We start from the raw sequence: 15739 nt of genomic DNA on the forward strand, positions 1-15739 counted from the left end.
TTTTGTGAGTGAAAATTAATTATTATTTAAAACAAAACAAAACAAAAAAAATGTTCAGTGTTTTCATTTTACTTCTCTTGCTGCTTTTGGGCTCTGACTGGGCCCGGAAGCAGAAGTTGCAAAACATTATGAGAAAACTTTTGCTCTTTTCTTTTTTTTCTTCAATCTCCACCCATATGGAAATACCAGAAATCTGAAACCCCATTCTTGCTAAATATTCTTCTCAGGATTGTATCTCTACTGCAGGTCTTCTATGACGTTTTACAGCTGGCCTCTTTCCATTCAGAATTGCTGTTCATCTTTGAATGTCTCTGCTTTACTCCTGAATGAACACAAACACATTTTTTTTAGGTTTCTTGTTGACATTGGCTTTCTTTATAGCCCATAAAAAATGCATTTGTGGCATCTCTTCCACAGACAAAAATAGTATAATTATGATTCAATACTCGATGAATGTGTGTTAAACTAAACTGTGCCCAAGCTCTGTGCAACAGTACAGGTTTTTCACCTTTCCAGGGGAGAGATGTGGAGCACATATACATTTCAGCCATCCTACATGCCCACAGGGACATCTTTCTGGTCTGTCTCATTGGAATACCCTTCCTTATTTGGTTTTTAGTTTCTTTCTGCTTTAAGCACCTTTCAGAGAGAGAGAGATGTTTTCCTTTGTCTTTGTATAGGCAGTGCCTATCGTTACAGAGTAGCCTTTAAATACATATTTGTTGAATTAATAATGATACACATGAACTGATGAGGCTCTATAATTCTATGAGATAATCTGGTATCGTGGGAATATTTTAGCATGTTTTGTATAGATAGACTGACACTATGACTGGTAATCTGATAGTAAAAATGGCAAAATATTGAGCCTGAGTATTATTTTATTATGTTGCTTTCTTATACAAGGAGGGAATAAAATAAAGTGATGTGGACTGTAATTGTGCTCATGAAAGACACAATGTATACATACCTCCTTGAGACGGAATGATAAGGATAACGTAGAATGTTTACCATGATTTATCAGTCTCTCCTATATAAGAAAAATATTTCTTGTCCTGAAGTGGTAACTTTGGTGAAGTCTTTTGCTTGCTCTTTTACAGACTAATTAACAAGTTTTCTATGCCGGCTCTGTCCTTTCCTCTCCTCTCACCCCTGAAAAGTGGTTAAAAGTTTGGCATTTGTTACCCAGAATACTAAATGTAACACATATGTGGCAAGATTTGATGGAATTGCACTTCTGTTCTTATTATGTTCCTTTCTGGAAAATTATGACAATTTGTGTCCCCTTAGAGAGTGTAGCACAGTTTTCTGGTTGCTCCTCATGATAATCCAAAAAAAAAAATCCAGCTAACCCTTACCTTTTAGAGTAAGAATCTTTAGAAGAAAGAGTGCTTTCATCAAATCATTTGAGAACGTTAAGTTGAATAACTGATACGGTACTACCCTACAGACATGCGCAGGAAGTATCTGCATTTCTGTGGCGTTCTGCTAAGGAAAAGAATTTTCTTTCCAGACAAGATTTTTCAAAATCATATTTTAAAAATATCTTAATGATGAATTTGAAGTTGAGAACCAACTTATTTCAAGTAAAATTAAAATTTTGAGAGATAAGAGAATATACTTTTTTTAAGGTTAGAACTCAGAGGCCATTATGACAATTAATGGGCTAGTGGAGACACCTGGTCTCTAAGAAGGAGACACCAGCTTCTTCATGTTTTGATTTCTGCCTTGTTCTCTTGTCTGTCACCACTAGACACATACTATTTTATAGTAATTACTTGCATATTTTGTAGAAAAGGCAGCTGTGTTTTCTACAAATATTTCACAAATGTTAGTATTGCTCTATGCCAAGGAACAGAAGACAAATTTGTGGAAAAGATACATGTGGCCCCTCCCCAGGTGGGATTTCTTGTGTAGGCCCCATGCAGTGGAGGGACAGAGGGGGCCAGTGCTCATTTTGAGGACACGATAGTTCGGACTGTCTGAGGAAATCGACAGTGTGTGTTTAATGACCAAACCAACATGGCTTTGAAGAATACATATATATTTTTTTTTTTGCTTTTTTTTTTTCATTGCCCAGGCTGGAGTTCAATGGCATGATCTCAGCTCACTGCAACCTACGCTTCCCAGGTTCAAAGAATTCTCCTGCCTCGGACTTCTGAGTAGCTGGGATTACAGGCATGCACCACCATGCCTTGCTAATTTTGTATTTTTAGTAGAGACAGGGATTTTCTATGTTGTTCAGGCTGGTCTCGAGCTCCCAACCTCAGGACCTCAGGTGATCTGCCCGCCTTGGCCTCCCAAAGTATTGGGATTACAGGCGTGAGCCACTGTGCCTGACCAAGAATATTTTTCTTAATTTTTCTGTAAAACTAGTTGTTTTAGTTTTCAAAGAAAGATATTTTGGTAGTTTTTCTTTAAAATGCATATCATCATACAGAAATCATTGTCCACGTATATGGACATATATATCTATATAAATAGATTATATCTATATAAATATATAGATATATTTGTCCATATATATGTCCATATATATATATATATATATATATATATATATATATATGATCTTTTTTTTGATATAGTGTCCTAGACCTGGAATTCCTGTGTTAAAAAATGAAAACATTTTCAGTCTCTTCATATATATTGACAAATGGCTTTCAGAAAAGTTGTTTCCTCTATTCTCTTCCTAACATTGTATGAGTTTCCTTTCACATACTTTTGTCAGAGTTTAATTTTATCATTTTCAAAAGTGTTACTTTTATAAAAACTGGTATTTCTTCAATTTACCATTTTGTGATTAATTTAATTTTTACTGTGTTCAGGGTTTTATCATATGCTTATTATTTACATTTCCTTTGTGAATTGTGTTCCTATGATTTGCACATTTATCTTTTGTGCAGCTGTGTTTAAATTTTGAATATAAAGTTATATGAAAGAGGAAATATGTAATTTACATAAACACACCCAAATATATGTGTGTGTGTGTGTGTGTGTGTGGTGTGTGTGTGTATTCTGTGTTGAAATAAATGGTAGAACCAGGACAACAGGTAGAGGTTATGAGGTTGTCATCTGTGACACAGTCTAGAGGAGAAACTGTGTGGGCATCTATCAACTTACCTTTTTGAAAGAATCTTAACTATTAGTTTCTGGAATATTCAGAGAAGACTTGTAAGGCCAACATGGACTCTAGTTTCCATCCTCCTGAGAAGACATTCCATTATGAAATCTAAGTAACTTTGACAGCAAACCCTTCAGTCTTATCATTTTCATTAGATAATCTACCACCAACACAATGATCCAAAAATGCATTATATTCTTGCACTGGAGTTCTTCACTTTTTGCTTCACCCCAAAACTGCCGCTCCTAACCACATGCTTAGCTGCTAACTTTCACACCAGGCTTATGAGAACAGTATTTTCAGTAAGCTCTCTTTTCAATTCCTTTCACAATGGAGCTGCAGAATCTTTGAGTTGAAAGAAGCCTTAGAGGTGACTAGGATCAATGTATATATATCCCTCTTACCACACACACTCACTGAATATTTTCTAAAAACTACATTAAGAAAAAAAGAAAAGCCTAATTTAGTGCTGAACTGCTGAAATATTTTGAAATTTGTGGTTTCAAAATCTTAACACTGTTAATTGAAACCAATGTTTCTCATGCCTTTTAGTCTCTGGACTCCTTTTTAAACATTCTTAAACATAAACCTAATTTTTAGCATAATTGTGGAATATAAAGAGGTTTTGTCTATGTGGGTTATATATATTTATTGTAAAATAAACTAGATAGAATTTTAAAATATTTAATTATTTATTAAATAATAATAAATCAATATATTAATATAAATAGCACATATTGTATGAAAAACAACCAGATATTATAAAACAAAGATTTAATAGGAATAGTGTCACTTTTTTGCATTTTTACAAATCTTTTAAATGTCTGTCTGAATAATAGATAGCTGGATTCTCATATATGCTTTAATATTCTCTATCTGTTGTAATATTATATACCATATAGTTTCTGGAAACATTAATTTTCTACTAATGAGAGAATGAGAGAGAAGAAGAAAAATAACTTCTTAGTACTGTTAGGTAAATAATAATACTCATAACACTTAATTAATATTATTTTGACCTTGAAGAATCTTTAAAAGGTTCTTGGGGACTATCTTGAGTCTCCAGAAAACACTGAGAACCACTGATACGCCAACAAGATAAAATTCTTATCCTTACCGCAGCATGGAATAGGACCATACTTTCTTCCTTATAATAATACTTCAAGTATTTGAATGTATTTATTGTATTTTCATCTATACTATTATTTTTTAGGACAAAATAGACTTCTTTAAGTTTTCCGTATTTGACACATTATCTTGCTCCCTTCCCCACTACCTACCTCCGGTTAGCCTCCTCTGAATACTCTTGGATTTCAATTTCATTTATAATGTGTGATATTCTGGACTGGACACAGCACTTCAGGGACCTGGTATCTTGAATCAACAAAGACTTGTCTTCCAAACGATGGTGATTAAGAAGCCACCATGTCCAACTGGTCAGCCAGTTTTTATATTGTACAAATCAGCAATCTCAGAGTCAACCTAACCAGATTTAGGCAAGGCACTTCCATGATGTATTGATGTATTGGCTATTTTATTAATAGTAATATCAATAAAAATAATCATTAAGATAACTGATAATATTCAGGACTTCATATGTGCTAGATGCTATGTTTAATGCATACATTTATTCACTCTTCTAATTCTTAACAACTTTATAATGTATATGTATTTCTTATTCTTATTTTATAGATAAAGAATCTGAGGCATGGAAAATGTAGGCAATTTATTTGAGATTACAGAGCTAATAAGAGGCAGAGCCAATGTTTGATCTGAACAACTTGATTCTAGGATCATTTTGGCTGGGAATTTTCTGAGAGCTGTGTGTGTGTGTGTGTGTGTGTGTGTGTGTGTGAGAGTGTGTGTGTATAAACATGAGACCATATTAGTATATACACAAATGTCAATATATATTTTAAACTGGAATGTTTTAATAGAGTGGCTTATATGATAGAAATAAGAGAAATAGAGGAGGATGGAAAGGGACAAAAAAAGGGAAAAGTAATTAGGAATATTGAAAAACCTAAAATGTAGTTCTCTCCATATTCTGGATACTCCTGCCTTTTTCTTCCACTTTCCACACATTGACCAGTATTCCTTTCTCCTTTCCTAAAATAGTTTTACAGATACTATAGATACCCTTAGCTATTTGACAGTTATGTTTCTGTTCTTTTAACATGTCTGCTTCTATAACTGTCACACTTAAATGTTTTCATAGGAATCATGAAAACTATAGTTTTTCCTCCAACGTAAGGATCTCATATCACGCTTTCATTCTGAACTAACCATTCCCTCTCTGCAGTTGATGTAACTGTGCCATGTGACCATTGTACACATGTGGGAGGGAGGAGCTGAATTACGCCTGACCCCTGGCCAGAGCAAGAGCTACTGGCCAAAGGGGAGATTGAGCATCTGTGTTGTACTTCCCACGTCTCTTCACCTAGGAAGTGCAATAGATTTCTGACGAGTCTATGATTACCCACTGATGAATAAAGACAATCTCCCTGCACAATTGCACTGCAGGCAAGACTGAACTTATGACCACCACTTCTGTGTAATTTTGAATTTCTTAGACCTGAACCCTGCTGAGTACACCTGCTTCCCTCTATTCCTTGCTGAAGTTCATTCTTTTCAGTGCGTTAATGGAGCCAAACCAAGCTGGTGGTGGTAACAATTTGAATAATAATAGTCTTTAACTTTTTATCTTTTGAAAAATAGAATTCTCAGGAGCACTTTTAGCTATAAGATTCCTTCATCCAATTAAATAAGCTTTAAGCTTCATGAAAAGTGTAAAAGGGCACAGGTGCATTTGTGGAAATAGAAGGAAGCAATCTTGAGCCTGAATACATTGAGGTACTGGCAAGCTTCTGGAAGTAGTTGAAGAAGACTTCAGTTAGAAGCTTGGTCAAATGGACAAAGCCCTGACCTGGACATTGGAGACCTGTAGCCACCTTCTGAATCCACAGCTGACCTAGTGGCCTTGATATATAATATTGATTGCAGGATAGTTTTGTGATGGTTAAGATTGCAGGCTTTAATAACTAGATTTCTTGGATTTAAATCCCAACTCTGCCACTTACTGCTTTTCTCTGGGAAGAGTGATTAACCGCTTTGTGCCTCAGTTTCCTTATCTTTAAATGAAAATAATTTGAGTGCATACCTCACAGGTACTAAAGAATAAATGATTGGAAAATAAACATTATTGAATATATGTTAGTAATTATTATTTTCATTGTTATGCTATTATTATTTTTATTATTAATGTATGACATCATGTTACCTGCCTAACAACAGAGTATTGAGACAAAAGCAAAATATTTTTTCTATATTAATAATCATAATAAACACCACTAATGTTTCCAAACTATACTTTTTTTTAACCCTACATGCCTTTAGTTCATGGAAAGAAAAGTATGTTAAAGATGCTATGGGGGTGAAGAGAATGATAAATATTATTATTTAAGACAATGTTTGCTATAATTTTTATATATCAAATAAGTTTATATGTTCTCAGAAAATTGGTCTTTGAATAATTGAGGACAGTGTGGGTTTTTATTCTGTTTCTGGAAGGCGGTGCCTGTGGCTGTGAGAAATAAGGAACAGACCATCTTCCCACATTTGAGAGGGAACTATACAAAAATGGGAAAATATTTGTTTTAAATATCTTTTGGATGTGAATTTTGTCATAATTGCAAACTGTTTTGGCAGCAAAACGAATTATTTCGGTAGCAAGAAGAGACTTAACGATGCTATGTGGGAGAAAAACTAAGTCCCTACTATCTTTCTGAGAGCACGTCTCAGAGGACATGATGTGATCCTGTAAGTTTGTAGCAATCTTATTGTGCCCCAGTGCAGACACTCCTTCCTACTTCCCTGTAGAAAACAGAACTGTTTTTTTAAAATTCTTTCTCAACTACCATTTTTAATAGTCATGTTACTTGATGACAAAATCTGATACAGTGGCCTTTAATACTATATAGTGAATGATTTTTGAAAATTTGGAAAACTCTAACCGAAATATACCAGGAACTGCTCTCCTCTTCATCTCAGATGTCTACTTCCTCTTCAGACCTGTGTGTGAAGCTCTAGAATAGGCTGTTTGGGAAGACTACAAAATCTCCTCTCCGAGGTCCCTTATAACCCTGATAGTTGCTAGATTTGAAATCAAGGATTTATTCTCCCCCTGCCCTGAGCCTCTCCCTTATGTCCACATAGGCTCTAGCATTGGAAGAAATATTTTAAGATCTCTTTCTTTTTGACTTTGTGATACTCCCATATTAAAAATGGCTTATGACAGGAAAAGGACAAATATGCTATATTTTTTCCCTTAAGGCTAATGTTCTCGGGACTACCATGAAAAATCCAGGTATCCTAATCTGGAGGGTTACCCTTTGGATCTGAATGGGATTGGAGTCAGTACAAGGGGTGGGGAGTGTTTTTAGAACATCCCGGCAGCATTTTTTTTTTTTTTTTTTTTTTTTTTTGAGACGGAGTCTCGCTCTGTCGCCCAGGCTGGAGTGCAGTGGTGCAATCGCGGCTCACTGCAAGCTCCGCCTCCCGGGTTCACGCCATTCTCCTGCCTCAGCCTCCCGAGTAGGGGGGACTACAGGCGCCCGCCGCCACGCCTGGCTAATTTTTCTTTTTTTTTTTTTGTATTCTTAGTAGAGACGGGGTTTCACCGCCCTGCTGCCTTTTAAAGCAATTTAATACATGAGTTAAATATCATATTTTAAAAATAGATTTTATTTTTTATTATAATTTTGATGAATGCATTTTTGTCAAAGTTGTCAAAGTCAAGAAGTCATTATTGAGACCCTGAGGGTAAGGCAGGAGCCAAGTGAGAACAAGCAGATGTCAAAGATGGTGAAAAACTAGAACAGCCAGGTCCCCCAGGCATATACAGAGAAGTTTTGCAATGGCAGGTCCCCGTGGTTGTCTGACCCAGACTTCCACCTTGAGGTAACTGGGGTAACTATAACGATATTTTCATCCTGATCTCTTCATGCAGTTATATGTTTCCAAGAACAGATAAACTGTGAACTTAATACAAGTGTCTCCTTTCCTTGGATTCTCACCATCTGGGTGGTAAACATGACAGAAACATTCAAGTATGTTCAATGTAGTACATGGTAACAAATGCTTTAGCACAGACTAGGGAGCATGTCTGGCAACATGTTGGCAAATAATTAAATTGGCACATTCAGGATAAAATGAGAACATGGAAAAACAGAATATGATTCTCTTTCCAGCCCTGGAAAGACATCCCAAGTGTACGTATTGTTTATATTATGTTATTAGTATATCTTTACCAGCAAAGGGCAGGTCATCATCATTCAATATGCTCAAATACTCACATTTAAAGACATAGGCACTTTGAGAGGCCAAGGGGGGAGAATCACTTGAGCCTAAGAGTTCAAGACCGGCCTGGGCAACATGGCAAATCCCATCTCTACAAAAAATACAAAAATTAGCTGGGTATAGTGCCTGTGGTCCCAGCTACTTGAGAGGCTGAGGTGAAAAGATTGTTTGAGTCGAGGAAATGGATGCTGCAGTGAGCCATGGTCACACCACTGCACTCCAGCATTCTAGCCTGGGCAACAGAGCAAGACCCTGTCTCAAAAAAAAAAAAAAAAAAAAGAGAGATGTAGGGAGCATTGTGGACATCTATTCATGGAGGGTTAAACAATAGAATTAGACAACCATGTGTATGTGTGGAATCATGTGTTTTTTCCACACATGTAGGAAGGAGAAGGTAGGAACAATGAAAAGATTCTTTTAGTGATCATAGTGGCTCCAAAACAGATGCTTTGGTATATGTAATACCCATTTATCTTATAAAGAAAATAAAGAAATAATAAAAGCATTTGCTAACCATGTTAGATGCTATAGTAAATGTAAAAATAAAGGGTCTGTTAATCTATTAACTGAGCTTAATATATGATGTGATATAACAGCAGCCTTCAAATATGCGGAGGGCTATAACAGAGATCATGATGAACAGACTTTTATTCTGGCTTAGAAAGACTAGACACAGAAATTAAAGGCATAAATTACTCTACAAGCAAAGCAATCTTAACATAACACTCCTTTCAAGGTAGACTATGAATATTTCCACCAATAATATATTTATTAAAATAGATTCCTTTTCATTTGTCTTTTTAAGTTAAACATAATCTTGCTTGAATGAGGATGAGTATAAGATACCTCAGTCATGACCTTGTAGATCACTGCATCAGCCAGCTTTGTATTCAGCTATCAAACAAAATAAAATGTGATCACTAGTGGTTCAAATACATTGGAGTTCTACAACTAAAGATCTAAAGGAATGAAATCCATGACTAGTACAAAGACATAATAATGCCCTAAGCAACTTACGATATTTTGATGTTTCTTTTCTGACACCCCATTCGATAGGCTTTTGTCTTCATGCTCAGCATCTCCTATCTCATTTGGGATGCTATGCGTCCACACCTTTCATCACATTCCAGCAAAAAGAAAGGGAAGGCAAAGTGGTAATATATTTTTCCTAGTGAGGTTTTGCCTCTTTATTCAGGGATGGAAACCTTCCCCAGAAGCTTTTGTCTACACTTATTGGCCAGAAATTTAACATATAACCATTCATTGCTGTCAGAGGTGGGAAGGAGTCCCTGAGAAAGAAATTATTCTTGTTTTCCAGCCTCTATTGTAGCATTTAACAAGGAAGAATGGGATTATGAATAGCTTTGGAATGTTTATCATGTCTTCTAGTTGCCATAGCTCATAGTCATTTTATATGATTGAATCTATATTAGGCCTTTTATCTGACAAGTTTCCCAATGTACAAAGACTGAAAAAAAATAATTTTCCTCAGATGGGAATAAAGAATGTCAACTGGTCTGGCCAAGTGAGTTTGGAAAGCTAAGATTTAGCCTTGGGTGCATTATTGATGGACAATAAAGGAGTAGGTGGCACTCATCCATTCATTCAGTTATTCTAGCTGTGCTATTGAATACTTGCTAACTGCAAAGCACAGAGCTAGATCCTAGTAAGAATATAGAAAAGAAAGTCACAGTCTCTGCCTTGAAAACATATTTATTTTATTTCTAGGACAAGACATCTACACATATACAAACTGTCAATTCATAACATGTCATGGAAACATAAAAGAAGGTATCAGTGAAAGTGGAGTGTTTAAGGAAATTTCCATGCAGTTGATAGAATTTTAATCCTATAATTTCAATAGGTAGTAGCTGTGTCTCAGGCATTCTAGGCAGTGCACAGCAAGAGAAAAGATTGAGATAAAGATAAAAACTGGAAAGAAGTAGGCAATCAGTCATATTTCTGCAAAGCAATGTTAGAAAATTGCATGTGTTAGCTTGTATACACAACTTAGCTTACAATGTTAGCTTGTAGCTAACTGAATACAGATGTGAGAGTTAAAATATACTCTCCTAACAGTAGAATAATGATTGTTAGAGTGGCAGGGATGATCTTATAGAAATAAACATTGGACAACCAGCAAAAACAGTGAAAGCCAGCCATATGGCTATCTGGAGGAAGAGCATTCCAGCTACTCAAATCCAAAGTGGTATCATGGTGTGATGTCTTTTTTTTTATTTTTGTTTTAGAGACAGGGTCTCACTATATTCCCCAGGCTGGTTTCAAACTCCTGAGCTCCTGTGATTCTCCTGCCTCAGCCTCCTGAGTATAGTCACATGCCACCATGCCCAGCTAAGTTATATATAAACATAAGCACAGAGTAACATGGTAGCAAAAAATAATGTCACCCAAATTAGGGTTTTGAAGACAATACAGGAGTTAGATAGATAAAGAAGAGAGGGAAGGGCATAACACAAAGGAACAGGAAGTATTAAAATGTGCGTGTTATGGACTTGCATACAAATTGAGTGCTTTAATTTTGCCAAGCATCTTTCATAACACTATAAGGAATTAACAGTATGAGATAGCATAAGTAAGGGGGCCTGAGAACTTACATAAACACCCTTGGTACATGGAAAGTAAATATAAAATGGTGCTGATAATTCTAATTACATAGTTTATAGAAAAGATACATGACCAAGCTTGAAGCAAGAATGATTGATAAGGAATTAGGTAGGTTCTGTATAAGGAAAGGTGATTTCAGATCCCAAAAGGGCATGGCTGAATGTTTAGCCTTTCAGAGTTGGGGAATCCATTTCTTCCTGTGGAAGGATTAGTCTTTAGGTGAATAGATATGTATCGAAGGGAAATTAAGAGAGCATAAGAAAACCCCACTTTACCTGCCATCTATCCATGGAAGCAGCAATAAGACCACCTGAGAGCTATGGTACAATTAAATTGAAGATATTTGAACACATAAAGTAGGTGTAATGTAACATATAGGCTCAAACATTTGAAAGTGATGATATTTGGTCATTGCTGGCCTACAAAAGAAATGATTTTATGTGATTCAGTCTAATGGTAATAGTTACAAAGGATTGACTTCTTCGCAAATAAAATGGTTGAAATAGTACCCAAAACTAGCAGATTGGGCAAAAATTACAAAGAAATATCTAAGTGGTTGCATAGTAACCACAAAAATGAACACACTTATTTTCAGAGTTCAAACCGTGGTAGATTTGAGAGTATGTTTGGAAATGACTAATGCTTAGTGTTGTTTACCCTGTCACCACATTCCTGCATAAGGCTCTTTATCTCTGACTGGTCATGCTCACATCTGTTTTCTGCCAGCCTTTTCTGGTGCCCGCAGGCACCCACCTGCACCCAATGTCCTCCTTTTATGCTTTCTGGCCTCCTTTCATGTACTGTGTGGTCCACCATACTACCTAATCTGCTATATACTCACAAAACTATTTACTTCTTTTGAAAAAAATGTATTATTAGATTTAAATATATGTATTTATATTTCCCTTCACTTTTTAAAGTTTTCACTTTATTTTTATACTATGTTTTAAGCTTCCCTAATATCCCACTGCTGAATCCCACCGACATGGAATCCACGGCATGGTGAATCCCTGACTTACCCATTCCTACTAGAAGTAGAGCCAGAATCTAATCCAGACCTCCTGCCAGCCACTCCCAGACCCCTTCTTTCCCCCAAAGAAAATGAAGAACATATTTTTTGTGCAAAGAGATACAATCAGGAAATTTTTTTAAAATCAGCTTTTATTTTAACTGAATAGCTTACTTAGTCCTGGGGCTGTAAAGTCAACTGAATGATGGAGTCATTTTTTTCAAAATGCGACATCTTCTTACCCACTTCTCTTATTACTCTCATCATTATGAAAATCACATTTGTGAAAGGAAATGAATTTATATCAGGTTTTCTTTGGCATCACCCAAAGGACCTTAGTAAAGAAAATTAATACTAATTTTATTTTCTATTGTGAGCACCTTAATACGGAACTGTAAGAATAATTACTATTTTTAATGCCAAATGAAGCATGTAAGTATTACTAGCTTCTTTTTTGTATTAACTTCTATACTTATCTCAGGAGTTTTTATAGTGATATAGACATTTTGTGAAATAGATCATGAGTGAAACATAGACCTGGTATAGCTTGACTGGGGCCTACTTTACAGATTTGTCCTTAAGTACTGAATATAAATGTTTCTGCTTCTTATTTTCCTTAGCATTTTTAAAGAAAGTCCTGGAAGCCAAAAATCTCCATGATGAAATATTTATAATTATTAATCACTGTTATATGACCTTATTATGTATGAAAACTATATTCAACATCCTAAATATGAAATGTGATTAGTTCTGATTTTAAAGATTTGTGATAAAACAAGACACCATTGATGAAATACATAGAAAAAGGAAGACAAAATAGCTTGGGACACATTAATAACTTACACAAAAAATTTTAAAAATTAAATCTTCTAATAGATTTGATATATAATATACCCCAGAAATATTTACATTATATTTTCAAAGTCTAGAGCATTTCTTCCATAGACTCCAAAACTATTTGTATATATTATCATCGAAACACAATTTTGAGAGAAGTTGGAATGGCAGTGCAGTTAGCAGATAAAAAAAATACCCACTTTTCTTTACAAGTCTCTATCTAATTCATACTCCCTATTGCTCTTTCCTGCTTCACAAACTTCTTAAAAGATTTTTTCATGTGGTGTGAATATTTAAAATCTGTCTTAGCAATTTTCAAATATACAATATAGCTGGCCATCTGTATTTGTGGGTTTTGCATCCTCTGATTCAGCCAACCATGGATTGAAAATATTAGGAAAAAATGACGAAATACAACAATACATCATAAAAATAATACAACTTAAAAGACAATACAGTATAACAACTATTTACATAGCATTTATTTTGCATTAAGTATTATAAGTAATCTAAAGATGATTTAAGGTATATGGGAAAATATACTTAGGTGATGTACAAAAACTTTAATCATTTCATAGTGTATACATATATCAAAATGTCACATTGTACCTTATAAATACTCATAATCATTTGTCAATTAAAAATAATTTAAATTTTTTGAAATGTAAAAAAAAAAAATTTTTCTAGCCTCCCAGTCTACACTCTCACTTTTCACTAACCCATTTACTGCTTTCTTGCTTGTTCTCCCAGCACACCACAAAAACAACTTCCATGCATACACCAGTATCACCCCCCTCACCCCCCTGTTTCCAATAAATTAAACCCAATGGACCAAGCTAAAGCATTTATTATACTTCACCTCTCAGAGGCATTTAACGCTATTGACAACTTCCTTCTTTTCAAAACCCTGTCCTCCCCTAATTTTCATGAAACATGAAACTACCTTCTAGTTCTCTTATTTATCTCAGCCATCTGGCTCCTCTTTCTCTATTCCCTTGTTACCTATTGGTGTTGGTATGTATTCCATTCTAGAACTTTGTCTCCTCTACTGTGATGCTATCATTTAGGGTGAAATCAACTACTCCCATTGCTTAATTTGTCTTTTATAAATTTGTGACTTCTACATCTATAGCTCCAGTTCTGCTGTCTTTTTTGTATTAAAGACCAATTTCTCCAACTATGCACTAGACACTTCCAACTAGTATCCCACTGGTATCTCAAATTCAACATTATTGAACTCAAAAACTTCTTTTGTTAACTTGCCTTGCTGTCATATTTCCTGTATTGGTGAATTATATCAGCTTCCATAGACTTGCCTGAGCCAATATAACCTAGGACATATTCTCCTTTTCCCTTAACTCAGCATTGACTGACAAAGAACATGCTAGGAAGTCTGTATTCTTCATGTCTTAAAATATTCACCTCTGCTTCCATTGCCACAGCTTTGATTTGGGCCACTCACATTTCTGCAGTAGTCTCTGAGATTGTTATCATCCATATCTCTGCATTTTTCTTGCTAATGAGACCTTCATTAAAATTATTTTGTAAGTATTTAATTATTTAGCAGTTCATGCCTTTCCATATGACTTAAAATTCCATTGGGTTTTGCTTTTTTCCTGTAACCTAAAGTTACATCTGGGTTGGTCAAAGTGAAGCATAGTAACTACATTCCCTTTGATAGTGCTGCAATTAAGACCAATGAAATGTGAAGGAGTTTTAGGGAAGCTTTTTCCTCAGTCTTAAAAAGAGACAAAAGGAAACAATACCCCTCTCCTGTCTCTGGTTCATATTTGATGAGAATGTGGCACCTAGTCTTTTTGAGACCAGTGGGGTAGTTAGGCCCACACCCTGTGGATGTCAGAGCAAAAATATGGAAGGAATCTGGGTCCTGATACCATCATCAAACCATTGAGCTAATTCCGTTTTGTAAGATAATAAATTCCTTACTGTTTACTCTGTTCGAGTTCCTTTTTTTTCTGTTAGTTGTAGCTGAAACCATTTTAACTGTTGTTTTTTGTTTGGTTTGGTTTTGTTTAATACGGAGTCTTGCTCTGTTGCCCAGGCTGGAGTGCAGAGGCGCCATCTGGGCTCCCTGCAACCTCCACCTCCAGGGTTCAAGCGACTCTCCTGTCTCAGTCTCCCAAGTAGCTGGGATTACAGGTGCACGCCACCATGCCCAGCTATTTTTTTTTTTTTTGTATTTTTTTGCATTTTTAGTAGAGATGGGGTTTCACCATGTTGGCCAGGCTAGTCTAGAATTCCTGATCTCTGGTGATCTACCAATCTTGGCTACCCAAAGTGCTGGGATTACAACCCACTGTGCCCAGCACCATTTTAACTGTATTCTAAAAGCATTTTACAGCCTGCTAATACATAACCTCATCTCCAACCTTGCTTCCTAAGTTCCACTCTGTGTTCCACAAATGGGATTAATCACCTACTGAAAGCTCTATAATAATTCCTGTCACCTGAGGATATTGTTAAAACTTCTCAGTTTGTAGAAGAGGGCCTTCATTATCAGCATCACATTTATTTTCCAGAAAGATATCTAGCACCCCTCTACCTTACATCTTGCTTTTCAGCCAGGAAGAACAACTTTTTCTTTCTGAAATGTACTAGAATCTCAGTGTTGGGCCACATTGCTTTTTTTTTTCTAAAAGACTAATCGTCTTCCTTTCCCACCTAACTCAAACATATCCCTCTTAACTTAGACATTACTTATTTTGGGGAAGTCTTCCATGATTACCCTAAGAATAGGGTAGGCATTCTTTCTCTCTGCTTCCATA

General features: G+C 35.6%; 1 protein-coding gene and 1 long non-coding RNA gene across 12 annotated transcripts in view, besides 1 other annotated feature; one reads left to right on the top strand and one right to left on the bottom strand.

Annotated features, from left to right (window-relative positions):
* The window catches only part of PTPRC (protein tyrosine phosphatase receptor type C), a 118764-nt gene that overhangs the window by 18787 nt on the left and 84238 nt on the right, over positions 1-15739 (top strand). The gene's annotated exons all lie outside the window — the stretch shown is intronic.
* On the bottom strand, positions 54-9643 carry PTPRC-AS1 (PTPRC antisense RNA 1). The gene is made up of 3 exons (NR_199042.1): positions 9500-9643; positions 3124-3207; positions 54-322 (listed from the first exon to the last, which is right to left on the bottom strand). It is a non-coding gene; the product is annotated as a PTPRC antisense RNA 1 (long non-coding RNA).
* Positions 11265-12464: an enhancer, noted in NCBI's record as "CDK7 strongly-dependent group 2 enhancer chr1:198637893-198639092 (GRCh37/hg19 assembly coordinates)". NCBI's record gives its function as "activates an origin of replication core promoter dependent on BRD2, BRD4, P300/CBP, MED14 and CDK7 cofactors, with strong dependence on CDK7, by STARR-seq in HCT116 cells {active_cell/tissue: HCT116}" and the evidence as "EXISTENCE:reporter gene assay evidence [ECO:0000049][PMID:35650434]".

Source organism: Homo sapiens, chromosome 1 (genome assembly GCF_000001405.40).
Source record: "Homo sapiens chromosome 1, GRCh38.p14 Primary Assembly".
NCBI classification, from domain to species: Eukaryota; Metazoa; Chordata; class Mammalia; order Primates; family Hominidae; genus Homo; species Homo sapiens.